Raw genomic sequence first — 26,927 nt, 5'->3', positions numbered from 1 at the left:
GGAGGCAGGGCCTTTCTTCTATCCGCCCACTCCGCTGGCTTGGCCCCTTAGCCCACCACTTCCCCGCGATCAGTACCGTCTCTTCGCGATTCGGAAGAAGCGGGAAGGTACTTACAGCGGCGCTCTCTCATGGTCCTGAACCTGTTGCAATGAAAACGGGGATCACTTAAATTCCACAGGATAATAAAGCAGACACATATAACACACAGAAAAATGACAAGGCCCAGATACCCCACCAATACCCAGACCTCCCTGCTTCAGGTGCCCGCCCCCGGGAACTGCGCAAAGTTCTCCGCAGAGCCGGAGACCGCAGTCCCTCAAGAGCAGAGCCACGGATTATGACAGATTTCGATCTCCATCGCCTCCCCCACTCCACGCACCCTTGGGCAAAACCTCACTAGTTACTGGGCCCGAGTCAGGTCGCCTGTAACAGGGTTTTCCCAGTGGGAAAACGAGAAGCGAGGAGAAAATGGGCCTTTGTGTGTTTCCTTCTGCGCAATCGGGCCGGGTGGGTGCAGGTCCACTGGGGAGGGGGTAGCCGCTCCATCTGCCCCTCACCCCTGCTTCCTATCTCTCCCACCCTGGGAGCAATTCAGCCTCCCTTTCCAGCTTCAGCTTGGTTTCAAATTCCTCAGCCCCAACCAGTGCCCCCAAAACCTGTCTTCTCCTCTTCAAAGAAGAATCAGGCATGGCTGGGACTTGCCACTTCTACTCCAATTCAAAACAAAGAGCAATTTCCAGGGGGAAATGAGGACCCAAATGATAACCAAGGAGGAGGAAAATCAATGGGTTTAAAGGTGAATGGCAATGCTTTAGATTGTTATCCAGCTCTATGGGTATGACATCAATTTTTCAGGATTGCTGCTGGAGAGCCCAGAAGACAATCTTACTAAGCAGTGGTCCTCCCAGAGGCTGGTGTCCAGTTTTAAGTTTTCAGTCTTTCCTGATATTATTATAGGAAAGCAGTATCAGAAATCTCAGGGACAAAGCAGCTTCACCCTCATCCTCTCTTTCTTTCCCCACCCAGAATACCACTGTTTTATTCCACTTCTGAAGGAGATGCTCTTAAGGGGGAGGAGAGGGGCAGTAAGTCCCTCTTGTGAGGTGAGAGCCCTCAATTCCTAACTGTCCCTATCAGGAAGGGAGGGCATGGGAGATCGAGATGCTCATTCTATTTGTTAATTTAGGTTTAGGCTAAAATTAGAATTAACTTCGATGAGACTTATCCCCATCCTAGGCAGAAAAGTCAGGAACAGAGAAATCTCCCACCTCTGAAGTTGTTGTGGAAAAAGTAATAAGTGACTTACTGTTTTTCTTTCCTAGTGGGCAGGGGAGCTGGGAGTAGAACCGTCTCCTTCTTAGCCTGGAGCTGGCTGGAGCCTCTCACGTTCCTATTGCTGCTCCAGGAACCCAGCATCTGCACTTGTATGCTCTTAACCTAATTTATGGTGGGAATTATATTTTGGCTTGTCAACTCTCAAGCCATAAAACAAAGTTTATTGGAATCACGTGCTCGTAAATAGCCACTCAGGTCCCATCTCTGCAGAACCATAAATAACCTTTGGCTTTAAACTTTTATTCACTAAATAAAGGTTCGCTGCAACGGTTACCTCAGATTTAAATAGTTCCAAATATCCAGGATGCAAGGGAGGTCATATTCATATCAATACCCCAGGCTTTTCAAATAGCATCTTTTCGGAGAAGCTGTTTAAGTTGGGAGATAGTGCTATTTGGAAAAGGCTAGTTGGTGGGCATGTCTTATGATTCTTTGGCGGCATTCACTGTGAGTACCATCAACCCCTTTATTTCAATAATTTTCTAGCTCTAGATGTGATAAAGAGGAAGGTCAAAAGCCACTTCTTATTTGCTTATGACAGAAGTTGGAAGTTATTTGAGATTTTTTTCAAGTTTCAATGGAGAAAGGGTGGTTAGGGAGAGGCTGGGTGGGTTTGGGGGTGGGAGTAGCAGTTGGAATTAACACTTGGCTCCCTCCATATTGTTGTGCATGGGCTTGGACAAAGTTGAAGGTAGCCACATGCCTAGAGGTTTCTGTAATTCGCTTAGATCTGAAAGGAAAGCCTTTGCAAGTGACCAAACTGCTTAACACAGCAAGACTTGGGGTTTGGTAAAGTGAGAAAGTGGAGAATAGCCTCATTAGAATCTTTGGCAACTAAAGCTCCAAAGAAGGTTATAAAACAATAAAACAGCCCTGGTGTGAAGGCGACAGGGTGTGAGGAAGCAAATGAGACTCTCAAGGAATCCAAGCCTAGGAAGTCAGATGTCCCCACTCCCATGGTGTCTCCAAGCACAGTGATTAAGGCTCAGGAACTTTGGGGGCTCAAAACTGGGTGGGAGTTTTAGGAGCACTACCCCCACACCCACACTGCTGCCCCCACCAGGGAGAGAGCCTAAGAGAGGAAGAGAGAGTAGTACACTGCCGCTGTCCTGCTGAGAAAGCCAAGGAAAGAGCTTGGGCCTGAAGCTGCTCTCTAGGAAAATGTGGCATTCTCTGCTTGGGGGAGGCTGGGGTGGGGGTAAGAGAGAGGGAAAGATGCCCTCAGCTCCCACCAAGGAGCATAAATAAAAAGAGAATTGACCCCCCAGCACCCTTCAATAGCCCACCAGAGTTGCCACCAAACAGTGTAAAAACGTGTGGTTTTGACTATTCTGATGAAAATAATGGATGTTCTGTGGAGATTTGTAGAGCACACACACATATGATTTCTAAATCAAATTCAGTTGCAACTGTTCCCATCAGAAAGACCCATCAAGCCCATAAAAGAGATCCCTTCATACAAAGATCTCTTTGCATCCCAATTTCCACCCATTCTACATGCATTTTCAAACCCATTTCCTGATTTCACTGTCATTAGCTAGAAAGCAGGGGGCTATTAGCCTGGATTGTAAGGCATCCATTTCTCCTTTTTTTGTTTCATTAGCCATGTAGGAAGATATTTTTCTTTTATGGTTGATGGCATCTGTTTTTAAAAATGGATAAACTCTTCAAAACATGTTTCTGATTCTGGTTAGCACTAGATGAGCAGCTGTAAAATAATAATAATAGTTTGAGGGGTTGAGAAGAGCTTTCTTTATTTTCCTGTAACCCCGGCACTTTGGGAGGCCAAGACAGGCAGATCACAAGGTCAGGAGTTTGAGACCAGCCTGACCAACATGGTGAAACCCCATCTCTACTAAAAATACAAAAATTAGCCGGGTGTGGTGGCGGGTGCCTGTAATCCCAGCTACTCAGGAGGCTGAGGCAGGAGAATCGCTTGAACCCAGGAGGCAGATGTTGCAGTGAGCCGAGATCGCACCACTGCACTCCAGCTTGGGCGACAGAGCTAGGATCTGTCTCAAAAAAAAAAAAAAAAAAAAACCAAGAAAGAAAGAAATTAATCATAGTACATATTAGTTTCCAGGCAATTGTGATGAGCTTTTTATGAGAATGGGGTAACGAGAAGATAAGACTGAGGAGAAATAGTGTTTGAAACAGTGATGGGTACCCAGTTAGGGCTAGGTAGACATTCTTTGAACAAACGGTGATGAAGCATGGTGACTGAGACATGCTTGCAACCTTTATTGTGGCCTACACAAAAAGATAAAATTACATAGCCTACTCTGTATATTTAGACAATAACGGAAAAGTAGCTGTGAGTAAAGAAAAGGAGAGACGAAAGGAATATATTGAGGCAGACATCATTTATGTCCTGATCTTAGGAAAGCGAGGCAAAGTGATTAAAGAGAGAGTAAGGGTCCACCTTCTCATAATCTTCTTTTGTCTCCTCCTTCCCCTATTCCTTTTCTCCTCCCCTCCTCCTGGTCTTCTGTAGATGAAAGAAAGGGTGAAATGGGGGAGAGAAGCTGAGTGGTGGAAAGAGCAGAGCTAGCATGTGCCAGTTTGTTGGGGAGTTTCCCAAGAACTTGCAATGGTTGTGGTGATAATGGAAGAGGCAGTGGGGAAAGACAAGTTGAGCCTTCTTAAAAACCTAGAAGGAATTAATTTATAGGTAAAGTGGGACTGTAGGTACTGTCCTTCCCCATGTGGCTAAAAAGAGCCTAGGAAGCTCCCATGAGATAGGGCACCTTGTAGGGCTCCTCCAAACCCTGGGAGCCAAAGTAGCTCGCAGGAAGGAGGAGAGAGTGAAGGGGTCCCGGGAGGAAGCAGCTCTACTCCAAAAGTAATGAAAGTCAGCCCTCTGCCCACCCTAAGGGCCCCTGCTAGGTGGCTCCAGGAAAGAATATTCTCATTTTGGCTCTTAAGAGGCCTTTTGCCTAAAGGGGGGTGGAGCTTTCCTCTTAAACTAAATGTTTGTACAACCAGAAGAGATAGGTGGGGCTTTGAATACCTGGCCGGGGCAGGTGGAGAAAGAAGACTGCCCAGGGCTGGTACTTAAGGACGTAGTCTGGGGGTATAGCCAGAGAAGGACTGAACAGGGAGTCCCCAGCATGAGAGAAACATAACTCTATATTCCTGGCACTATACTCTATCACCAAAACAGAAACATTTCTCTCCCTGCCCACTTCCCTCTGCCCCAGTGGAGTCACTCATTGGAGCTCTGGCTTGAGGACCCAGGGAGGCAGAGGTGACCCCAGACAAAAAGGCCAATAGTGAGAGAAGAGACCAAAACAAAAGGGGAGGGGGCTTGGAGCAAGATGTTTGAGAGCAGAGCGGAGGCTAGAAATAAGGCTCCAGTGGTCCCAAGAAGGGCAGAAGAGGCTAAGGTGGCTACCTAAGTACTAGGAGAACCAAGATTTGTTGGAACAGGAGGTGCTGCCCTAGGCTGTAGGCAGAACACTGCCTGACAAGGTTGGTAGCAGAAGAAACTGTACGTTTTGAGGGAAAATCTGACCCAGGAGGACTTCCTGGTTAAGCCAAGCAAAGCAGCTTGGCCAAGAGCTACTAAGTCTCTCATGAAAAAAGTCTGTAGCCAGAAGTCATGGACCCAGAACTAAGGGTGAGGACTTATCCCTCAATTCTCCATTGACCCTTCCAATTCTTTTAAATTCCGTACATCTTTTATGAAGAGTTATAAAAATACCCTTTCTGGCTACAACCCCCACACATGTTGGGGGCAGAGGCTCAGCTGCTGCCCTGGAACCCAGATCCTGGGGCACAAGCAGTTAAAGGGGTGAGAAGGGTTGGGGGGAGTGGAGGTGGGGCTCCTCGGCTTCCTTGGCTGTTGTTGGTCTTTTGCTTTCCTACCCTGCCCTAGATTTTAAAAGACTAAGGAGGGTCCTTGCCCTGGGGCTATAGAATAACAAGAGGAACAACCAGCCCAGTGGGTGTGACTGACAGGACAGGGTGGTGATGGAGAAGGTGATTGCAGGAGCTGGATAAATGGGCCTGCTCTCAGGAAAGACCTGAAGCCATCTGTGGGAGTCGAAGATGTGCCTGTGTGAATGTGAGGCCTCCCCTACCTGATACCTGCCCACTGAGGAGTTAGGGCCACTTTCTGCCTGGTGTAACCCTGATACATTTAGGTGCCAGACACTGAGACCCAATGGGCCAGGACTATGTGGCCCACAACAGCAATAGGTTAAGTCACGGAACTATGTTCTCCTGAGTCTGCTACTTCCTGTGTGTTCAAGCCTGTCTTCTCCTCCATAGAATTCAAAAATTTGGTGAGTGAACCAGGGGTCTTTTGCTCTAAAAGTCTAGGCCTGATTACTCAGCAAAAGGGGGATAATAAGAAACATGTATGTATTGAATACTTGGTATGTGGCAAAACACTGGTTTAAGTACTTAACCAGTGAGTTAAAGGTACATAAAGCAGTTAGAATAGTGCCTGACATATAGAATTGCAAGTAAGTAAAAATTCTCATAGCAACCCTTGAAGGTACTCTTATCCCTCCTTTTCAAAGAAATTAACAGGTCTAGAGAGTTGCAGTACTCGCCTAAGGTCACGCAATAGGTAAGTGGTACCATGGCAGTCTGAACCCACAACCTGCTGTCTTTGAAATCTGTAAGCCAAAAGTTAAGGGATCCACGGCCTCTTCCCTAAAATGTAAGTATTCAGTCTATAGGGTGGTGACCTTAAAAACCACAACCCTGGATGGAACCCTAAGAGCTCTGGGGGATGCTTAGTTGTAGGGTTAGAGGGAACTTGATCTTTGGAGAACAAAGGATCATAAAAGGAGCAGGAGAGATAATTGACCAGTGGTTCTCAAACATAAGTATGCAGCCCAAGTGCCCTGGGCGGAGGAGTGTTTACAAAATGCAGGTCTCTGGGTACCATATCTGGATATTCTGATTCAGTAGGTCTGGGATAGGACCCAGAAACCTGCATTATAAACAAGAGATTTGATGCAGGTCTTCACTGAGAATCATTACCCTAGAGAAGGCGGTGGGGAGAGGGGGACAAAAGACTGCATTGCCAAGAGATAACGGAGGATCAGTGGGATTGGGTCAGAGCATTATTTAAGTAAGGTGTCGCTGGCTCTTGAACCTGGTGCGAGGAGTGCCCAGTGGAGCCCACAAAAGGCCTGAAATGAGCGAAGTGGTGATAGAAGAGTGGTTGGGTGGTGTGGAGTAGACATGCGCATCTGGCTAGTTCTCTTGAGCTGCAGAGCAAATGGGATTTACCCAAGCTCTGAGTCTCCAGGGAGTCCCAGGACCCAGGTCCTGTTCTAAGTGAGCAAGGGCAAGGCCCATCAGCCTGTTGGAGGAGGCACTAAAGGATGTGCTTTTCAAGGCTGTCCATTCTGGGTACCAGGAATCCTGGGCAAGGTAAATGACGAGACCCACGGCCCAGCGGGAGGGGCTGGTTGGGATCCGCGGATTGGGCCCAGCTTGCCCCACACAGGATTCAAGTTGCTGCTCCTACAAGCGCAGCACGAGGAAATCGCGCCCCCTCCGGGAGCGCGGAGAAAGCGAGGTGGCCCGCCAACCCGGAACGGCCCTAGGCTCCCAGGCCTCGGAGCTGCTTCCACTGCCAGTCTGGGGAAAGGAACCCCTTGGGGGACGGGGCGCAGCACCGTCGACCCTTGTTCGAGGCCCCACACACTTGGCGCGCGGAGGTAGAGTGCGCGGGAAGGGAGGAGCGGGTACCGATCCCTCCGCTCCCGCCCTCCCCGGCCCGCCGCAGCCGGCGAGACGCTTGTCCTACAGCGCCTCCTCCTGGACGAGGCGCCAGACAGCAGAGCAGGGAGACCACCAGCCCCGGAAACCTGAGGCTGGGACTTCCTCCGGCAGGCGGAGGTCTCCCCGCACCAGAGGCTGGTTCTACAGTGTCCCCTGGGGCGGCTGGAAGGAGCAAGAGGGACCTGAGGCCACCTCTCATCCCCTACCCCCCATCCCAGGACAAACAACAAGCTCGTGGCCCAGAGGCGCTTGTCCCCCATTATTTAAGCGAACCCAGGCGGGAAAAGCCCTTATATGTCCGTTCATTTATTTGTTTATTTATTTATTTATTTGACTGCTCTTCGCCGAGCTGCTGCCCCCCAGAGCCCTCGAATGTGCTGTGCTGGCATAACAAGATCCGGGAATGGTCAGGCCGAAGGATTGGCCTGAAGTGTGGCGGTTTGAACAGGCGCCAGGAGAAAAGGCCTTTTCCCAAAGTAGTAGCAGCAGGCTGAAAAAAAAAAATCTACAGCCTTCCCCGAGGGGCAAATATATGCTATATATATATATAAACTGGAAAGAAGAGTGTTTCCTTTGGCCCTCGTCTCGTATTTTCAGCCTATGTCTAGCGTACAGATTTAAACTGGGGTGAGGTGATAAGTCATAATGATTGGAAATGTAGCCAAAGGTAGAACTGTTCAGCTATACAGGGAAGGCTGAGATAAAGGCAAGATGAGTAGCGAGCCTTGACGGAGGGAGAATGGAAAGATCGGGTGTATCTTCCTGCTCGAGTCCACTCGCCCCCCCCCACCCCCCCGCCCCCACACCCGTGCTTTGCCGATCGAATTCCCGGGCTAGGCCATTTCACTGCACATGCGCTGGACCTCTGGCGCGGGTGTGTGGCGGGCGCTGCGGGACCGTGAGCTGTGCGGCCGGCTTGCACCGCGCAGTGCGGATAAGGTACCGCGCACTGCTTCTACGCCTGGATGCAGAGGAGCTTGGGAACCTCATCTCAAGAAGCAGGAAACACACTTTTCTTTTTCAGGAAAACATGTATTAAAAGCTTCAACTGTCCTTTCTGATTTGCAAACCCTATTCCGCCGAACAAGCAGCATCTCCTCGTTGCCAATGAACACTCTGAAGGTTGTTATGTGGATCAGAAATGTCACATCTTGGGCACCGCTTCCCTTTGAGTCGTTCTTCAAGGCGGGGAAAACCATCCTACATCCAGAGAGCACAACTTCTCCCTCATTCTGCAAAACTATCAAGTCTAAAGGACCAGTCCCTAGAAAGAGGGCATCTGTTCACGCCATTTCCGAAAACGTGACCCTAAATTGAATTTAAGTTGAAATTCTGAGTTCTTCATGGCTTCTCCCCAGCTTCCGGTGCCCCCGCATACCCTACCCGGCTGCCTGGCCGCCGCACTGCGGCAAGGCCGTAAATACCTCTAACAGCTGCCTGCCAGCCCAGGGTGAAATACTGTCTTTGTTCGATTTCCCTTGCCTCTCTGATTCAGAAAACAGAACTCTGGCGAAATTTATTTGTAGAAACATCTGACGGGAAAATACGCTTTGTTTTCAGCTCTCGTGCTTGGCCACATTTATAATTTCGAGCTTCGTCTTTCTCCTGGTCCTCGCCAGAGATCTCAAGCCCAGTTCATGGCCTGACCCGTCGTCACCAAGGCCCGGACATGCTATCGGCTCCCTGATCTATGAGAGAACAGAGGTTTGGGCCAAGGACACTGGGAGTTATACTTCTGGGCTTCTCAGCTCTCAGGGTCCCAGCGTTTTAAAATTTCGTTTCATTTTTTGGTTAGGTTAACAGAAACAATGGGGTTATTTCCGGTAGTGGCAACAGCACGAACTAGTTTTCTTGTGGACTAATGGCCCGAGAGTTCCTGTGATTTGTGGATTATTTCCCTTAGATGCAATCGACCATTTCGTTCCAATAAGAATTAATGCTACCACGGGGCTTACAAAGAACCCCTCAAGTCTTCCAAATCTGCCCATGACATCAACCTCTGCTGCGTAATCGGACCTGCACCCAACCCAGGTTTTTAGTCACTCAAGCGCGCTGTGCTACAGAACCAGGGAAAAGCACTGAAGCTCTGAACATAGAGCTTGGCCATCAGGGCCACACCCCCACACCCACCCGGGTACCATCCGACCTAGGGACTCTTCCTGCTCCGAATCTACCTGGCAGGGCCTAGAAGCCACTATCCAGGTGCCTGCTTTTCAATGGGGAATGTTTTTTACCCCGATCAAAGAATGACCTCAAAGGTCATTGTACTGTAGTAGAGAAATAATTACAAAATACAAACACTCCAAATAAAATAACAATCACTCAAGTTTCTTATTTGTAAGTGATCAGAGTTAGTGATCCAGGATAATTTGCAGGCATCAGCTGGCCACAAATCGTGGACCTCCATTTTGAAATGAGCATGATTCCATCATTAATTACGAAAAACACCTTTCCACAAAGATGACATGTTTTGTTCAGAAACTCTTTTATGGCCCACGTTGTTACATTGGAATTTTAAGGGAATAATAAGTTAGGATTTACCACTGGGTGCTTTGGGAACCATACCCTTGCCTTGCGCAGGCAGTCTCATGCGCAATGCGGCAGACTGTCCAAAGGTTTCATTTCACAATGTTCATGAGGGAATAGGCAATAGGATTTGCGAACTGCATCCGCAAGTGCCATTCAAAATCAGTGGGAGAAAATAGCTTTTTTTCTTCTGCAAAGGATTTTCTTTTATGCATATTGTTTCAGTTCAGCAGTTTTGAAGTTGAGGGAAGAATGTTGCAATGTAATATTTATTAGCAGGTGGGAAAAAAAACACAACCCATCAATACATTTAGAGAGCAAAAAGATCTACTCTTTTCCTACTCTGGCAAATAAGAAACACACGATGTTTCAACACAGAGATGTCTTGTATTTCTCAAAGATCTATTGGGTTTTTACCAAGACCTGCACCATATATTCTGATACCATTACCTCCCAAAACATGGATTCATTTTGTGATATAAAAGAATCCAAATTCACCTGACGGATTATCATATGCGGGAAGAGCCTATCTTGAGTTGCTTAAAAATTTCTCTAAGAACTAGAGAAACATTTAAAAATATTTAAAATTCCATCTCATACAACACAAGGCCCAATAAACCATCAACCCTAGAAATTAACCAGCATCAGTCACTAAAGCCTAGATTCAAACACCAAGCACATCCTAGAAACAGAGAATTCACCCCACCCCCACCCAAGCCCCAACCCTCAAAAAACACCTGTTAGCCTCCCAGGAACCTCTGGCCACGGCCACAGGTAAACCACAAAAACCACAGCTCTATATAAAATGCCTTTAGTGACCCCCAGCAAAGTGGAGATGTTCAGTAGTAACCCGTCTATACACTTTCCTAGGGTAGGATTGAGGGGCTCTCCATCTAGGCAGTGGGATCCTGTCTGTGGCTACCCGTATCTCAGAATTTTTGAAATAATACTGCCCCCTTAGACTTCTGAACCCAGCCGGACTCCACCCCAGGCCCCAGGGGACGCCCTAGGAACGAAGTGATTGGGGGAAGGGGCTTAGACAGCGACCCCCCACTTCCCCGGGAAATGTAGGGGAGCAGCCGGACTGAGCTGCCCAAGGGGGTCGGCGCCCCAGGCTTCTTGGTGGCATGCTGGGGAGCGGGGAGGGGGCGATTCTTACCCGAAGGCTGCCGAGCTACAGGCGGCGGTCGGTCCGGGCGTCTGCTGTAATCCACTAGGCGCTGCCCGGCTGCGCTCACTCTCGGACGCAGAGACCCGCTCATGTTGGTGAAGAAGCCGCGCCAGAACCGCGCGGCTGCAGTCACCTCGAGCAGGCCGGCTGCTCCTGGCAGGCGGTGTCGGCGCCGGCGGGGGACTCGGCGCCCAGGGCCCCTTCCAGGCCCTCCCTCGCCGGGCTCCCCACCAGCTCCGGAGGTGGCGGCGATGCGGACCGAGTGAGCGGCGGTGGGGCCAGGCCGGGCGCCGGGCGGGAGCCGAGGCCGCGGCGGACTCCGCAATCCCGCAGCCGGTGACTGGAGCCCACCTCTGCAGAGACAAAGGTTAGAAAAAGAGGGGGTGAGGCTCTGGGAAAGCAGAATGCGGGGGGAAATTCGCCGGGGAAATCAGGAAAAAGGCCGTGAAGGCGAGCGGCGCCTGCACATGACCAGCCGCAGCCAATGACGACCGCAAATAGGTCATAAAAAGGTCTATTACCAAGTTGTAAATTTTCTTCAAACAAAAAGGAATTTACTGCAATTCCTTGCGGATTTTGCACATACAGCTCGCAAGCGCCATGTTTTTTCCTCTTCTGCTTTCTCTCTCCCCCGCCTCCTCTCTTCCTTCTCCTCCTCCTCTCTCTCTCCATTCTCTCTCTCCTTCCTCCCTTCTCTTTCTCTGTCCCTCTTCACCTTTCCCTTTTTCTTCCCTTCGTGGTTCTTCCCTCCCTCCCCGCCTCCTCTGTTTCTTTTTCTAGGATTTATTTGTGTGTGTGCGTGTGTGTGTGTGTGTGTGTGTGTGTGTGTGTGTGTGTTCTTTTCTTTGGTTTGGCTCAAAACCTCTGCGCAGTTGGCCATCGTGAAGGAGGGAAATGAACTCAATGTACTGCTCACGCTCTGGGGAAGCGATCCCCACAGCTACCTCCTCCCATCTCTCACCCTGTGCTAGTCACTTGGCTTCTCCTCCTCTCCCCTCAGGAAAAGGCCTGTCCCCAGAGGCAGCCAACCACTTTCGGTTTCCCCTCCTCCCTCTCATCTTGCAAGCCAGCCCCAGTTACCTTGGGAAGAAAACGAGGGATCTGCAGGCCAAGAAAATGTGCCCCCAACACACCACTCCAACATAAATTGGGGTCCCTCCCATTCCCGGGAGGTTCTGCAGTAGGATAATCACCAACCAGCTTAAAGGCTTCAAATGGTTTTAGGTACTTGTCAACCTCTCCGAAATACCCGTTTGAAACTCTACCACCTGGTCTTTCTCCACAGAAACATCTTTCTGGACAGACAGGGTTATGGTTTCTGGATCCCTTCTGAAACTCCTTGCTCTACGTCCTCCTCTAAGAGCAATTCTCATTTTTATGGAGTTTAATTCTAGTTCTCCCCTCTCCCCTTGCCCCCAAATATTTCCCAATTGAAAAATTTGTTCAACGCAATACTGAAAAGACATTTGTTCAGGAAAAGAGTGACTTCCTCAGATCAGCCTAGAAAAAAGAATAATTCCTTTTCCTCAAAGGCCGGTGTCACATTCCCTTTATATTTTTCACAGGAACTGCTCTGGTGAACTCCCCCTGAAAGTAAATGTCCTTGGCTGGCCTCCAGCATTCCCCTCATGGGCATAGCCATGCAGCCTTCAGAACCTTCCTGAAAGAGGTAACACCACCCCCCATCCTTTTAAAGACAGTGTCTTTACACTTCCAGTACTATGTTACAAATGTTTGCATCAGATACCTGTGTATAAGTTCTCTGCTATTAACATCTGCACACCCAGTAAGTGCCTAAGTGGATGTGGACTGAAGCAGGAAGCAGCACAGCACCCTCTGGAGCAGGCCATTTGTTATCCCTTGAAAAAGTTCTGATGACCTTGGATGTTTTTGATTAAAGGACTTTTGCTGCCATCTGTCAGCAAAAGTCATATTCTTTCTAGAAAAAAGCCAATGGGCCCTAACTTTGCTGGAGGGAACCGCAGCAGCAGCCAGGGCCCATTAAAATGTTCTCTCTCCTCCCATGTCCATCCCTAGATGCCCAAGGATTCAGCAAACACGGGGGAAGCAGAGGACACAAGAAGCTTGGATGTGAAATAGCACTTCCTTCTGTGTTACAGAATAAAACAATATTTTAAATTACACAAGCAGATGGGGCAAGTTTTTGGGCCCTCAGAAGCCCAGAAGACTTCACACTAGTATACTGGTATATACATGTGGAATTGAGCAAATAACTTGTTTAATTCCAAAATTTTCTGAGAAATAATCTCAATAGTCAATTTGCCTCATTATCCTCTCCCCATCTTACCCAAATAAAAGCAGAGCTTTATGACCCTCCCTTTCAACTTGGGGAATGAGGGCCGCAAAGACACTTTGCACTGAAAAGCAGCCATATTTGCATTTTTCTCCCCTTGTGCAGAGGTAAGCGATATATTGGGCTTTGTGGAACCTCACAAAATGGCATCCTTGAACTGACTTCTCTGAAAACCACTGAGACCCACATTCTCTTTTGTGTGTTTCTGGTCATTGCAAATGGAGAGCCTAAATCACTCAGAAGGCTTGGTTCTTTCATTCAGTGTTAACATTGGAGAGAACCATTTTTCTCTAAACGGTTTACAGACCTCACTAGGCAGACTGGTGCAGTTCAGGGCTGAAAAGTGCTGCCTGGGATGGCAAAGCATTCTCTGAAGGTTTATGCAAATTTCTGCAGCAAAAAAGTGTTCGCTTGTTGCCTCAATGCTTGGATGTTGACACATTTGAGCCCATTAGAAGGGCATCTTGTGCGCAAGTCACTGCCAGTCTGTCTGCATGAAACACCATGATGGGGGGTGGGGATGTCTAGTCAGTGTAAGAAAGAAGGTGGCGAGTGTGTGTGATGTGTAATTCCCCCAGGTCTTTATTTGAACACAAATCTATGCTCTTTCCCAGCTACAAAAGGAAACATTTACCTACATGAATAATCAACACTCTGGGCGTGTGTGTAAGCTATGTATACATACAAATTCATAATCTAATATATACCAGCTATTGCAACAGTCTGTCTGTACATGAGGTATGAATTTACCATGGTTTAGGCGGCCAGTGGGGCCAGAAGTTACACTTTGAGACCAGCACAGAATGCTGAAGAAATGACAATTTTATCTCCTCTTCCTTCCTTGATTTCCGTACCCACCCATACACAGGGCTCCCACCTGACAGTCTTGCCAACATTATTTCAGGGTTCTAAAAGTATCTGGTGAGCATCCTTGAGCAGGAGACAGCCAGTTTTGCTAATATATAAAGAAGTCCTGAGTCCCTTAAATCCAGGGCAGCTGGATTTCAGCCAGCACTGGTCTTTGGATGGTTTACACTGGAGGCTGTTCCCCAGCCTCTTGGCCCTTGGCATCCTTACTCTGTACCAGCTGACAGCAGAGTCTTAAGCAGTGCACAGAGCAAAACATTCTCAAATCCAGCATAGGCATTTGCAGCTGTCTCTTGGAGTGCAAATGTTTAAGTTCTGGGCCACCTGTGATTTAAAATTATCTTTCCTGGCTCAGGTCAGAGAATGTCACAGCCATCACTTCTTCCCAGCATGGAAAGCCAGGTGGTGCTTTCCTTCTGACCTGGCCAGTGGCAACATTTCTGTGTCCATGAAGCCACAGGCAAACAGCCTGATAAAACCCGATGAGGTGACCCTGGCGCAAAACTATAGGATTCCATTTTTCTTATCTATGTAATAAAAGCAACTCTGGAAATAAAAATTTACCCCTTTGAAAATAAACATGGTTAGAGAAAGCAGAGAGCTCTTCGATGACTACCTAACAAAGGTGCTTTCCCTTTTTCGGGAATGTTACTTTACTTGAATTTCTCCTCTTTTCTCCCGCTCCTCTTCCCCCCACTTTCCCCTGTAAAATGGCAGCTGCAGGAGCAGCCTCCAATGGAAAATGGATATCTTGTTAATAACAGATGCCAAACCCCAGCATCAACGCCGGCTCAGTGCAATAAGCTGTGGTGTAACATGGACTTTGCGTTGTCCCCCACTGGGCCTACAACTTGAGTCCTTTAAGAGGATCAAAGCTCTCAGAGCATCTTAGCAAGATTATTTAGAGCAAGATAGACTAGCCAGTCCTCTCTGAAAAAGAAGGGGCCCCTGCGGCCTTTTTTTTTTTTTTTTTAAACAGCGCGGAATGTGTGTAACCCCACCCCTTTCTTATTAAACAGAAGCCTTGAGCGAGTCCTTTCCTTCGTGCGAGCCCAGGCGATTGTTAGTGATTCATGGAAAAGGGGTATTTGCGGCGCTCAAAGACACTAGCTCCAGAAAGAGATTCATTTATTTACTAAGGAGCTAGCGACATTCCGGAGTTGTTTACACTCAGGTTTTTCTGCGTTTCCTCTCAGGGCTTGTTTCAAATAGGTGAGGCTATCGCTTTCCTGAAGAACAGCGGAGGACGTACCAACCGACGTCTGAGATGCACACAGCAAGCTGGTTTAAAACCAGCGGCGAACAGAACAAAGGCAATACAAATAAATATGACACCTACTGAAAATAACGGAACACAGCGGCAGCCACCGCATAAAGAACTAGCGATTTCAGGCGATTACAAGGGCGGTTCAAAACGAAAGCAAGTTAAAAAATGAGACGCATTTTACAAGGCGATTTGCCAGAGTTGCCAGATTATTTAATTTGTATGGACTATAGAAAAATAATTGTCAACTTGGACATTGTCTTTAAATTCTTGTCACTGGCCCAATCTTTTTCTTAAGTTTAAGGAAGCTGCAGAGCTGGACTACAAGTTACATTCTTCAGCTAATACGTGCTTTTCTAATATTTTCCCCGAGATATTACATTTAGAAAATACGCAAAGAAACCTTTTAGGAGTAAACAAAACGCACCCGAACTATTCATTATAAAGGAAAGAATAAAAAATCCATAAATAATACATTGTAATCAAATAATATAAAGTATTCTGCAGACATAATTTTTTTTAATTAATAAACTCCTTTTAATTTACTCACCACAAATATTAAAATGTTCAAGTGCACTTGTTTAATTAATAAAGCATTTTATATGCAATTATTAAGTGCTAATCATTAGGAAGTTTACGTTGTTGAGGCAAATCACTAGCTCAGACATTAAAAACCATTATAAAAATATAGCTACAAGGTCAGTATCAAATTACCCTTCCATAGGACAGCTCAAGGACAGCTTCTATGTGATACTAGAAACTTTTTTAAACACCCAAATCCCTCTCAAAGCACAGAAAACCTCAAGAGCAGTGACATGAAGGTAGCTTGAAACACAGGTAAGGTCCTTTCCAACAAAGAAAATAGGTGGTGTCCACAGCATATGGTGATTATTAGTTTTAATAGTCTGTGGTAAATTTTAAAGGTAGAAGTTAATTTGTCAGGCCTTCGGCTCTGTCTTCCTCCAGCTCTTGGGCTTCCTTTTTCGTTTCCCCGTCCTTCACCTCCTGCCGGGAAACGGGAAATTTGTCCTTGTTGTTTTCCTTTTTCCATTTCATTCTCCTGTTCTGGAACCAGATTTTTACCTGTCTCTCGGTGAGGGCTAGGGCGTGGGAAACCTCGATTCTTCTTTTCCTGGTCAGATAGGGGTTAAAAAGAAATTCCTTTTCCAACTCTAGAGTTTGGAAGCGACTGTAGGTTTGTCTTCCTCTTCGTCTACCAGGAGCTGCTGATTAAAACAAAAAAAAAGGGGGGGGGAATAAAAGTTTTAAAAATGTTATGGTACCTCTGCATGTTGCTGGAGGTTTGTGGAACGGGGGTCTACGGGGTGAAATATACACAGAGCTCTTTAGCTCCGATATATATATATAGGGTGTGCAGGCAAGAGGAGCAGAGAGGTCTTCACAATTATTCTGTCCCCATCATCTTTACATGGTTCCTACTTTTTTAAAAAAAGTCTGTATTACTTTATGAATAAGAGCCACTGTGGCTACACAAGAAGGAAAAGGAGGGGGAGAGGGAACGGGAGTTTTAAAGCCAGAACGTGAGATGAAAGCAGATTTCTCCCCCTCTCCCTTCTTAAAAAAAAAATGCATCCCAACCTTGTGGTCTCATCCACGGAAACATTTGAGAAGGAGACGAGCTCTGATTTAAGTGGTCTGGGTCCTCGCCAATATTACCACTGGACGATTTACAGTCAGGATATTGTACCAGCTCGGCCTCTTGCTGGGTCGTAAAAATCGGCTGTCTCTGTAAGTTATCGTATCCGTAAAACTTCGCGGGCTCCCCGTGACAGGCAATCCCGCCGCAGGGGGGAGGTGGCGGCGGAGGCGGAGGATGCGGAGGAGGAGGGGGGGCGGCCTGGTAGGCAGCGGCCGGGCTGCCCCCGCCGGGGTGGAAGTACTCCTGGCCCCGGCCTTCCCTACCGCCGCACCCAGTCCCGGAGGGCGGCGGGGACGGGTGCGGGTGCGCGTGCGCCTGCGGGGGCGCGTGCGGGAAGCCGGCGGCGCTGTTGCCATAGAGCTGCAGGGCTGCTGCGGCGGCGGCGTGACGGCCGCCGACCTCGGGCGCGAAGTGACAGTCGTAGTAAGTGGGATTGATGGCCTCGCCCGCCGCCGCCGCCGCCGCAGCCGCCGCCTTGTACTTGGAGTACAGCGGGTTCACGAAGTACGAACTCATTGGGGCGTCAGCGGCGGCGGCCCCGGGCGGGCGGGCGGCGCTAAGCAGCCAGAGAGCGAGCCTCGACTCGGCCGCACTGCCGCGGGGGCCTGTGGGGCGGCTGCTCTCGCCGCCGGGACCGCCGGGCTACGTCGCTGCTGCCGCCCGCCCGCGCTCGCGCGTCGCTTCTGAGGCCAGGCAGCCGCGGGCGCTCAGCTACTGGGCGCTCATGCCCGGCTCTTGCGCCCGCCGCCTCGGCTTCGCGCCGCCTCCCTCGCGGGTCGCGGGGCCTCGCCCAGCCCCCGCGCGCCGCCGCCCTCCCGGCCTTTCCCGGCGCGCCCCGGCTCGGCCGCAATATAATCGCCGACGCCCCAGGCGACCTGCCCCGCTGCCTCCACTGTTTCCTCTCAGGCACCAGTGACTGAGCGCACCCGGACAAGAAAAAAGTGCGCTCGGCCCACGGGGACACTCTGGCCTCGGTTTACAAACCCCGGCTCTGGAGGGAAAAGAAAAAAAACACCCTCTGCCCGCCGCCACCTCTTACCGCGCCCCCCCCGCGCCCCCCTCCCGCCAATCTCGCCCCCGCCGCCGAGGCTGCCGACCCGGTGCGCACCGGCGAGGCATTTTCGCACCACAGCACTGCACGGAAAGTCAGCGTGACGGGGACGAGGAGCCCCGCGGAGGGATCCGCGCGCAGTTCAGTCGCTACGGCCGACGGACGGAGCGCCGCGCCCGGCCCGAGATGCCTCCGCCGGCCTTAAAGGGGGCCCATAAAGACGCACTGCCAAGGGCTCCGTGTGCCCCGGGGCCGCGGGAATGCGGATCGCAGCCGGCAGGGAGGGGCCGCGGCGGAGCCTTAGACTTGGGGGAGCCAAGGAGGCCACTCCCAGGAGGCTGCGGAGCAAATGACTGCCTCCCCGAGCCCCTGGCTGCAAAAGCAGAGGTTGCCCGTGGCTTTTGCAGCTCTGGACACGCGGGTGCAGCCCAGGGAACGTGGACAAGAGGTGTTGACGGACCGGACCGTGCATTTGAGTTGGGGCATATCGAAGTGGTTTAATTAAAAGCCGCGAGTGTGGCCCCAGATCCTGGCGTTATCAAAGCAAATCAAAGCCTTTCTTTTCCAGCCGAGCGGGCCCTGTGGAAATGAGATGTACATTTACCCTTGACGCACCGCAAGCCTGGCCGAGGCTCTCAGGTTAATTGATATTTAATGGAAATCATGCCCATGAATATAGTTTCCATCATTTCACCCTTGATAGACGTCAGCCCTGGGCGCAGGGGGAGGCTGAAGAATGCAGGAGGGGGCATTAGGCTTGCTGAGAGAGTAAATAGAAGAGCGGACAGAAACGTTCTGAGGCGGGAAAAAGGGCTCGCGCTGGGGAGGGTGACATTTCCTCGGGCAGGACGCGGCTCCCGGGTCTCAGCCCCGGCGCGCAGCGAACCAGGGCCGGCTGCGGTTCCCGGAGGAGTGCGGAGGGCAGACGACCGCAAGTTCCCCCCAGGAGCCTCCCAGCCGGCGTTCAGATCGCGCCGGTTCCAGGCAGCTGCAGGCGGCCCATCTTATGCTAACGATCCTACTTCCTCCGCCAAGCCTGTGAAATTACTGCCGAGAGAGCGCGCAGGCCTCAAAGTTACGAATTTTTCCCAAAGCAGAGAAAGAGAAGGCTCAGCCTAGTTTGTGAGCAGAGATGAAGAAAAGTTGCCCGAGTCATGTGGCCCAGTCGAGTGTGAATCGACAAAATATTCCCGATTTTAGCAGCTCTCTCCAAAGCTGTCTGGCTTTACCCTACCAACCGCCTCCCCACACACTTCCTTTCCCTCTCTGCTCCCGTTTCAATGTCCAATAAATGCAATGGTTCTCTGTTGTGTGTGTGTGTTTTCCCCTCTCCTGCTCGGCCTTTCTCGTGGGCTCTTTGGGTGACTGAGCCCCGTTTCCTTCGGGATAGGTACAATGTCGTGAGGGCGCCAGGCCCACAGCCTTGGAAATAGACCTCCAAGGCGCCCCTGCTCAAGCTAAACGCACCACGCCGGCTTTCCACACCAAATGCAAATTTCCGAAAACCCCAGACGGCCTCAGAGATGCTGCAGGCTGGCGAGCGATTTCAGCTACCCCTAGCTCCTTGTGGGTTGGCCCAGCCTGCGAGCGCGATCCTGACTTGTGTCCGGGTGGACTGAAATATCATTTTTACAAATGGAGAAAATGAGATCGAGATGGACAGACATAGCAAGGTGATAATGTCCGACTCAATTATTTCTACTGGGAATGACTGAAAGGTAAAGGAATCGTTAATGAATCTGGAGATGACAGAGGCATGCTTTATTTAATTTTTAAATTAGTAAGGAGTGCAGACTTGGGGTGGTGGAGAGCAAGGGTTTTTTTGTTGTTGTTGCTGTTTGTTTTTGTGGGGTTTTTTTTCTGCTGGTTATTGCCAAGTATAATGACTTTCTTTAAATCCGAAGGCGAACGAATTGATTCTGACAATTAAGGATTTGTCCTTCAATCTTGCAAATGCCCAATTAAAAGATTATTATTGTCAATAAAGCCTTGGAGCTACCTTTGTAATTGTGCCCCTTTTTTTCAGTTTGGCGTGTGTGTGTGTGTGTGTGTGTGTGTGTGTGTGTGTTTGAACCCTGGATAAATGAGTGGATTTTGGAATGGAATGGGGGGGGGGAAAATGAAAGAGCCTGGATCTCAACAATACCAGGCATCTTGTAGAACTGTGTGATTCCTCGGGGGAATAAAAGAAAAATGAACACTAGAAAATTCATTTATAGACATTCAGGCCAAATTTAGAAAACGTTACAACATTTCCTCTTGGGACAAAACAGTTTTTAACATTTATTTAAGCATTCCGTTTATAATATGAGTAGAAAAAGAGCGCGATTAACTTAGTAAGAAAAGATCTATGCTTTTTACAGCTTTCTGTTTTGATATAATACATTAATTTATCATGTTTTATAGTTTCAGCTGTGCCACAGTCCAAAGTTTCTGAAGCCATGATCGAGCCAAAATTTTATGCCCAGCAAACACAGAAATTAATAGTACACCTTGTTTATTTTTGGTTAAAATTATCCTAATTTCGGATTAAAAATAAGATTGTTAATATTTTTAATCAAAACCTTTCTCCGCCGCAATTCCAGCTTTACGAGATCAGAAAGTGGAGCAACAGCGCTCTCTAGTGGCCAAATGCCACCTCCAGTCCACTGAATTTAATTTTTATTCATCTCAAACCAATTCTAATCTCGTTCTTCAATTTGGGGCTTGGACTGCTGACACTAATAATGCTTCATTCCTGTGACTGTCAACAAGTCAAGAGCAGCAAGCAGGAGCTCCTGTATGCCTAGGATATTCTAATCAGTGCTCCCAACAGCTTCCAGTAGTGTCTTTTCCAAAAGCTTCCAGCCCTTCTTTTGCCAGACACCAAAAGTCCCCATGCTGTAACCGCCCAGCTGTGCCTTTTAAAACAATTATAGGACAGGCTAGATTTAACAAAACCTACAACTTTCTAAATATCAACTGCCAAGAGGCTTTTTATTTTCCAGAGGAACCAGACACTTTGGCAACCAAGAAATTACAGAAATCAAGTATTGTTATGTTTTTGTTTTTCTCTTACAGCTGTTACTTTTAGGATTAAATCATGAATATTTGCTACTTTAACACTGTAACTTTAATGCTTTGGGGCCCACTTAGGTGGCCGATTTTGGGGGGAATCGAAGCCAAATCAAAAGCTTTTTGCTGGATCTCTGAGTGGCTGTCTGGAAAGTCCCTTTGCGCTTCTGTTTGTTGGAATTTCTATGGACAATAAATGGGATTTTAAAAATATATATCAAAAGTCATTGAACTAAGCATTCCACTAGAATTTTTTTTAAAAGCAATGACTATTCAATTGGCTTAAGTGTTTCCTGTTAGGTTAATCTTTTTACTCATCTTCAAAACTGCTTTCCTCCAGTTTAGGTGTAACAATTGTATTTTTTTATAAGTGAATAGACATAAATTTCAACAACATTTTGCTTCAAAGTTTGGAGTGGAGGGCCAGAGATTCTTGTGAATAGGCATCTAACTTCATCTTTTCCCGCGAACCACACTTCTGGGAGACTCTCACCTGGGTAAATGACCTAAGATCACTAACCACCCTATCCCCAGATAACAGGCCAATTTTTTTGTTTGTTTGTTTCTAAAGAACCAGCTAAACCGTGGTCATAGTCAAAATATTGTAAAATGCCATCTCCTTAGGCTACTTCCATTACCTGGTTCATTTCAAAAATCAGAAATTCATTCACCTCTTCCTTCCTACCTCTTTCATGTTTACTTCCTAGGTGCTCACACCTCACCTGGGGGCTCCCATGCCCCTGCCTTCTTGGTCCAACGCAGTCTTGTTTATATTTTATTGTCTAGATTTTAAGACCCAGTTTTGTCTGCATTTTTCCTTTTCTCCCACAAACACAAACATCAAAATGAGATGGTTTCAAAGCAAAGCACTGGGCCTGTCGTAAACTCATTACCTCCAGACGTCTGGCCCGCTAGATGGCTTTATGACACCTCGGCTCTTCCTGTTTTCAAAGAGCCCTAGGTACCCAGCTGGCCACAGTGGCAGGGGTGCGCAGCACCTTCTGCCGGATCTGGGCCTTCCTTGGCTTTCCCTCCCAGCCCCCCTATGCTTTTTCTTCGCGTCCCCTCTTTCATTGGGATCCCCCAAGATCTCTGCCACCGCCCCCACCTTCCACCCAGCTCAGGCCACTTGGCAGTGCTGCCTCTTTGGCCTGCAAATGCTGTGCTCACCCAAACCCTCACTTACAATGACCTTCATTTTAGCCCCTGAATGCAGCCCTCAGAGGGCCAAGCTGGGGGCTAAACATACACAGAAGCTGGGTGGGGGGAAGGGGGCGGTGAAATGGAGGTGGCTGGGGAGGAGAGCCTTGACCATTTTGATCGCTAAGGTCACTTTGGGGCTTTGGTGGGGAGGAGCAGAAGCTCACAGCCTGACCAGCTGGGACCTCCCGGAGCCAGCTAGCCCCACCGAGCTGGGACAGTTGCTCCAGAGTGTAGAGTTGGCCTTTCCCTTGTTTGGAGAGGGGTTTGGCATCTGGGGCTTCAGGAGCCCAGGGAAGGTTAGGGTGCTGTGTACCCAAGCCCCAGCCTGAAAGTGCCTGGCTTCTGGGGCCTGCTGGCTCTTCTGGGCGCTTCTGCAAGGCTAACACTGGGCCCAAGCACAGAGTTCGTGGAGGACCTTGAACCAGGCTTGGGGAGGCACCAATGTCCCCCCACAGGGTCTGTGCTGCTGCATCTGCCTACACAAAGGGATGTGAGGCAGAGAAGGCAGAGACACATCAGAGAGATCTGTCAGGTGGAAGGGCCCTGAATTTTTAACAATGTCTCACTCCCAGGGGTAGAGGAGAAATATCCTGAGTGTGATATTTTGCAGAGAGGCAGAGAAAGCAGGCACACAATGTTTAGGGCCAGCGTCTGGGCTCCATTTGATCAGGTCAGCATTTATTAGTAGGAAGCAGTAACATTTACAACTGGTCCTCGGGCAGGAACCGGGAGGGCCACCACCCGCGGCCGCCCACGCGAGCCCAGCCTTCAGGGGAGAGAGCAGCGCGTCCAATGCACTGAGGACAAACCCCAACCCGCCCGAGGCCCTGGGCTCCTCTAAGCCTCACTGGAGATCTCCACCGAGGTCCCGCGTGCTCCCTGAGGAAAGGGGGCTTTCGCAACTGGTGGGCAACCCCGCCGGGCTTCACCGTGGGCTAGCAGCCGGGGTGTCCGCACTGTTGTCGCTCTGCCTTCATTCTTGGAATTGGGGCGCACTTGGCCCCTGTTTGGGCAGTGCTGGGGGTGAGGGGACTAAACTACAGCACTTTTCAGAAACATGGGGGACATTTACACAAGAGAGGGCTCCCCAAGCCAGCTTGCACTCACAAAATATAGCATTTCTTAAGGAACCAATGGAGCAGGAAAGAGAGGGAGTGGGATAGGGCGAAACCCCAAAGCCACTTGGTTTTTCCAACACGTAAACGAGCAAATACAGAGTCCCCCAAATACCTCAGAGACCAACCACACAGTCACTTCTATCTAAAAAGAAAAAAAAAAAGAAGAAGAAGTCCAAGTCGCTGGAGAGTTTCTGGAAATCAAGCACCAAACACCCACAAAGGAAAACAGCAACAACAACAAATCCGCTGCCCTTGAGCGCTCCCGCCAGCACCGCGCCGGGTCAGTCTCCTTTGGGGCATTTCTCCTTGCTCATCTTTTTCATTTTCATCCTACGGTTCTGAAACCAGATTTTGACCTGTCTCTCTGTTAGGTTGAGAATCCTGGCCACCTCGTAGCGCCGGTCCCGGGTGAGGTACATGTTGAAGAGGAATTCTTTCTCCAGCTCAAGCGTCTGGTATTTGGTGTAGGGACAGCGCTTTTTCCGGGTGGAGCGAGCGTGGATCCAGTTCGCGGCGGGGTTGTCTACAAAGAGGGAGGTTTGGAGACGGGGAGAGAGGAGAGGAGGGGAGGCAGGGAGAGACCACAGGGTGGGGAAGAGAGGTCGTTAAATTAATTTCACCAAGGATGGTCGCTTTTCACAACTTGTGGGGAATTATCATAAAAAGCCTTAATGCTCGCGCTCTGTTTACCGTACTAACTGAGCGCCCAGGGTAGGTGGTTATGGGAAGCTCTTTTTATGGATGCATGTTGTTCGCCTAGGCTTGGGTAGGCGTCTAGACGTTTTTATAGGTTAGTAAAACTATCAGTTTTGCACATTCGAGCCTTACAGGTTTCAGCAATAAATCAGGGGGCAATTTCTTTTGCACTTACTTGGGTCAAGTTGCTGCTGCTGCGGCTGCGAATGCTGCTTCTCCTCCTCCTTCAGCGAACAGCCTGGGATCGGGTGGTCGCTGCAAGCTGAGGGCTCCGACGAGCCGCCCGTCCCAGTCGCGGCCCCGATCCCTGCCCCAGGCCCGGTTCCCCCCGTCGCCGCTGCCGCCTTCTCCTGCAGGAACGAGTTGCACGAGAACTCGGGGCCGCTGCTCCCCTGGGACTCCCGGGCCACGGAGCACTCAGTCCGTTTGGAGGAGGAGGATAAGGAAGTGGAGGAGGAGGAGGTGGTGGAGGCGGCCGTGGCGGGGGCCGGGGCCGCTCGGGTTTCAGGCTTAATCCCGTAGTGGCGCCCGTTGGCTGGGCCGCTGGGGCCAGGGCTGGGACCGCGGCCCGGACCGCCGCCTCCACCACCACCGCCACCGCCCGCACCGCCCGGGAAGCCGGGCAGCGGCTCCATCCAGGAGCGCACGTAGCGGCCGGGCTCGGAGGCAGAGGCGGCCAGGGGCGGCGGGGGAACGTACGGGTGGTAGAGGCCGCTCATCGCCGCCGCTGCCGGGGGCTGGGAGGGCACCGCGGACCACGAGGCAGAGAACACGGCCGATCTGGGGGCAAAACTACACGAGGCGAACTCGGCGGCGGTGGCGGCCGGGCCATCAGCCACACCTGCAGGCCGGCCCTGCGCGCCTGGCCCCGGCGGCCCGAAGCGCGCCGCGAACACCTCGTCGCCCTCATGGCCTATAAGCGAGTCCACGTAGTAGTTGCTGAGGGTGCCACTGGAAGACATTTTGAGGCGTCCCGCACTCCCACCCAACATTACACTGTCCGCCGCCGAGCAGCTCCCCGCCGGCGCCCGAGCCACCGACTAGTTCGCAGGCTGCAGCCTCCACCATTGGTCGCGCGGCCCACGTGATCATATTTACCAATACCGGGAGTAAATCAGTCCGCTAAACTGGGGGCTGCTGTGATTAAAAAAAAAATCATCAACATAAGCGCCGCAATTAGAGCCCGCAGGCCCAGGTCCATGTGCCCGGCTCGGCCCGGCCCGACCTGGCCTGGCCCGCCCAGCGGCTGCCAGGACCACAGACGCGACCGCATCCAGAGGAGGCGCTGGGGACTATTTGTTCGCTTCTTCTTGCAGCCCTCGGTCCCGCAGTCGGGCCCCGTCGCTGACTCTCCAGCTTCCGAGCCGCGGGCGGCGAGTCCAGGGCACACGGAGCGGCCGCGGGGGCGCCAGGCCGGTGTCGCCCGAGGCAGGCGGGCCCTCGGGGCGGCCCCTAGCGCCCGAGGGGAGCTGTTCTCCCCTCGCCTCTCTCCCTACTCACACCCACCCCTCCCCACACATCCCCACACACACGCTTGCTCACAGCTTGTCGTGTTGTTTAAAACAGGTGGAAGACCTCTGTAATGATATTATGCCTTTCAATAAAAATTTTATGAGGTGTATTTGATTATAGATTAATGTGTCCCTAATAAAACGGACGGATGGAGCAGATCGGAGGGCCCCCTCCCCCTGCCACACTCACACACGCCCGCGCGGCCACACACACCCCGACGTGAGGCTGGGCACACGCCGCGGCCCGAGGGGCGAGCCGGGGCGCGGCGGTGGAGGACACAGAGGGGCTTCTGCCTGCCCTCGGAAGGGCGGGCGGCCGGGCGAGTTGGCGCAGCACGGACAGTGGCGGCCAGGGTGCTTCGTCTTCTCCGATGATGCTGGAAAGGCCCTGGAAGAGAACACGCCACAGGGCAGAACCCAAATGCTAGAGCAGCTTGCTCCCGCCCGCCGCCTCAGCCCTGCCTCAGCGAGTCTCCCCGGGCAGGGCCGCTTCGCGCGGTTCGCACTTAAAGGCCTCGGAGGAGACTCCCAAAATGTCTAAAAAATTCGGCCGAATGGCTAGGTCCTTGGGACACTCCCTTCTGATTTTTTTCCCCCTACAGAGGTGAGGTTGAGCAGCCTTGAATCTGAGGGAAATGCCCATTGTCACTCCCAAATCCATGGTACAAAGCCTCGGAAGCCCGGCTGGGAGCCCAGACAAAAGCGGCCGGGGCGCCGGCAGCGGAGGGCATATTCCTTGCTCTACAAGTTGCCCAGCTCACCCTTGGAGGGCTCCCGGCCCACCTCCAGCCCCGAAAAGGAAGCGGGTAAATGGCTATTTATGGCCTGATTGATTACCTTTGCCAATAGCTTTCTGATTTTGTTCCAGATGGGATGCCTTTGCCTTGTAGCTCAGGCTTTCCTCGGATACATGGCCCGCTATCAACAGCTAATGGTATTCCCCACATGATCGGAGAAACGGCTAAATAAAAATTACCCTCCTCCTGCCCAACCGGTGTTAAGTCTGGGGCAAAGCTATTACAACGTTTTCAATCTAGCATTGATTCCAAGCCCTCTCCCCCACCCCCAGGAAATGGCCCCCTAAAAGAGTTCTGTCTTGGAATGTTCCTGGTTTTGGGGCGGAAGTTTAAAATTTTGAATGCCAGTGTCCCAGAGACTCCCTGGCTGAGGACTTATAGCACCTAAATGGATCGTTCTTAGGGAAACATTTAAAAGGAAGAAATGGAAAGGATGTGTTTTGTAAAACTGCTGGAAGCTATTTGAAACTGCAGGCAGGACCTCAGGTAACGAATTTTCTGTTAGCTTTCTCCTGCAAGGCCTCTTCTCCCTTTTCCCCGACAGGACTAGATAAGTCTGGGCTCTCTAGTGGAGATCCTGTTGAAGCCGGTGGAAGCTGGTGGGAGTCCCCTGG

General features: G+C 50.4%; 2 protein-coding genes and 3 long non-coding RNA genes across 7 annotated transcripts; 2 read left to right on the top strand and 3 right to left on the bottom strand.

Moving 5' to 3' along the window:
* On the bottom strand, nucleotides 7,375–11,154 carry LOC401021 (uncharacterized). The gene is made up of 2 exons (NR_148241.1): nucleotides 10,767–11,154; nucleotides 7,375–8,769 (listed from the first exon to the last, which is right to left on the bottom strand). It is a non-coding gene; the product is annotated as an uncharacterized LOC401021 (long non-coding RNA).
* HOXD-AS2 (HOXD cluster antisense RNA 2) lies at nucleotides 10,668–12,925 on the top strand. The gene is made up of 3 exons (NR_038435.1): nucleotides 10,668–11,145; nucleotides 12,344–12,447; nucleotides 12,816–12,925. It is a non-coding gene; the product is annotated as an HOXD cluster antisense RNA 2 (long non-coding RNA).
* A 2,145-nt stretch (nucleotides 12,926–15,070) lies between these two features.
* On the bottom strand, nucleotides 15,071–18,061 carry HOXD8 (homeobox D8). Of its 3 annotated transcripts, NM_001199747.2 has the most exons (3): nucleotides 17,992–18,061; nucleotides 16,823–16,970; nucleotides 15,071–16,449 (listed from the first exon to the last, which is right to left on the bottom strand). In NM_001199747.2, exons 2-3 carry the CDS (start codon nucleotides 16,845–16,847, stop codon nucleotides 16,154–16,156), a joined length of 321 nt encoding a protein of 106 aa, NP_001186676.1. In that variant the 5' UTR covers nucleotides 16,848–16,970; nucleotides 17,992–18,061; the 3' UTR covers nucleotides 15,071–16,153. The 3 variants fall into 3 exon arrangements, with proteins under 3 accessions (NP_001186676.1, NP_062458.1, NP_001186675.1); NM_019558.4 differs by having other exon boundaries at nucleotides 16,823–18,061; NM_001199746.2 differs by having other exon boundaries at nucleotides 15,071–16,446; nucleotides 16,823–18,061.
* On the top strand, nucleotides 17,238–19,941 carry LOC100129455 (uncharacterized). Its single transcript, NR_187615.1, has one exon. It is a non-coding gene; the product is annotated as an uncharacterized LOC100129455 (long non-coding RNA).
* HOXD9 (homeobox D9) lies at nucleotides 22,829–25,047 on the bottom strand. Its single transcript, NM_014213.4, has 2 exons — nucleotides 24,181–25,047; nucleotides 22,829–23,832 (listed from the first exon to the last, which is right to left on the bottom strand). The coding sequence occupies exons 1-2, from the start codon at nucleotides 24,995–24,997 to the stop codon at nucleotides 23,591–23,593; spliced, it is 1,059 nt and encodes a 352-aa protein (NP_055028.3). The 5' UTR covers nucleotides 24,998–25,047; the 3' UTR covers nucleotides 22,829–23,590.

This window comes from Homo sapiens, chromosome 2 (genome assembly GCF_000001405.40).
Source record: "Homo sapiens chromosome 2, GRCh38.p14 Primary Assembly".
Lineage (NCBI taxonomy): Eukaryota > Metazoa > Chordata > Mammalia > Primates > Hominidae > Homo > Homo sapiens.
Note: the sequence above shows the minus strand (reverse complement) of the source record. Positions and strands in the feature narration are given on the sequence as shown.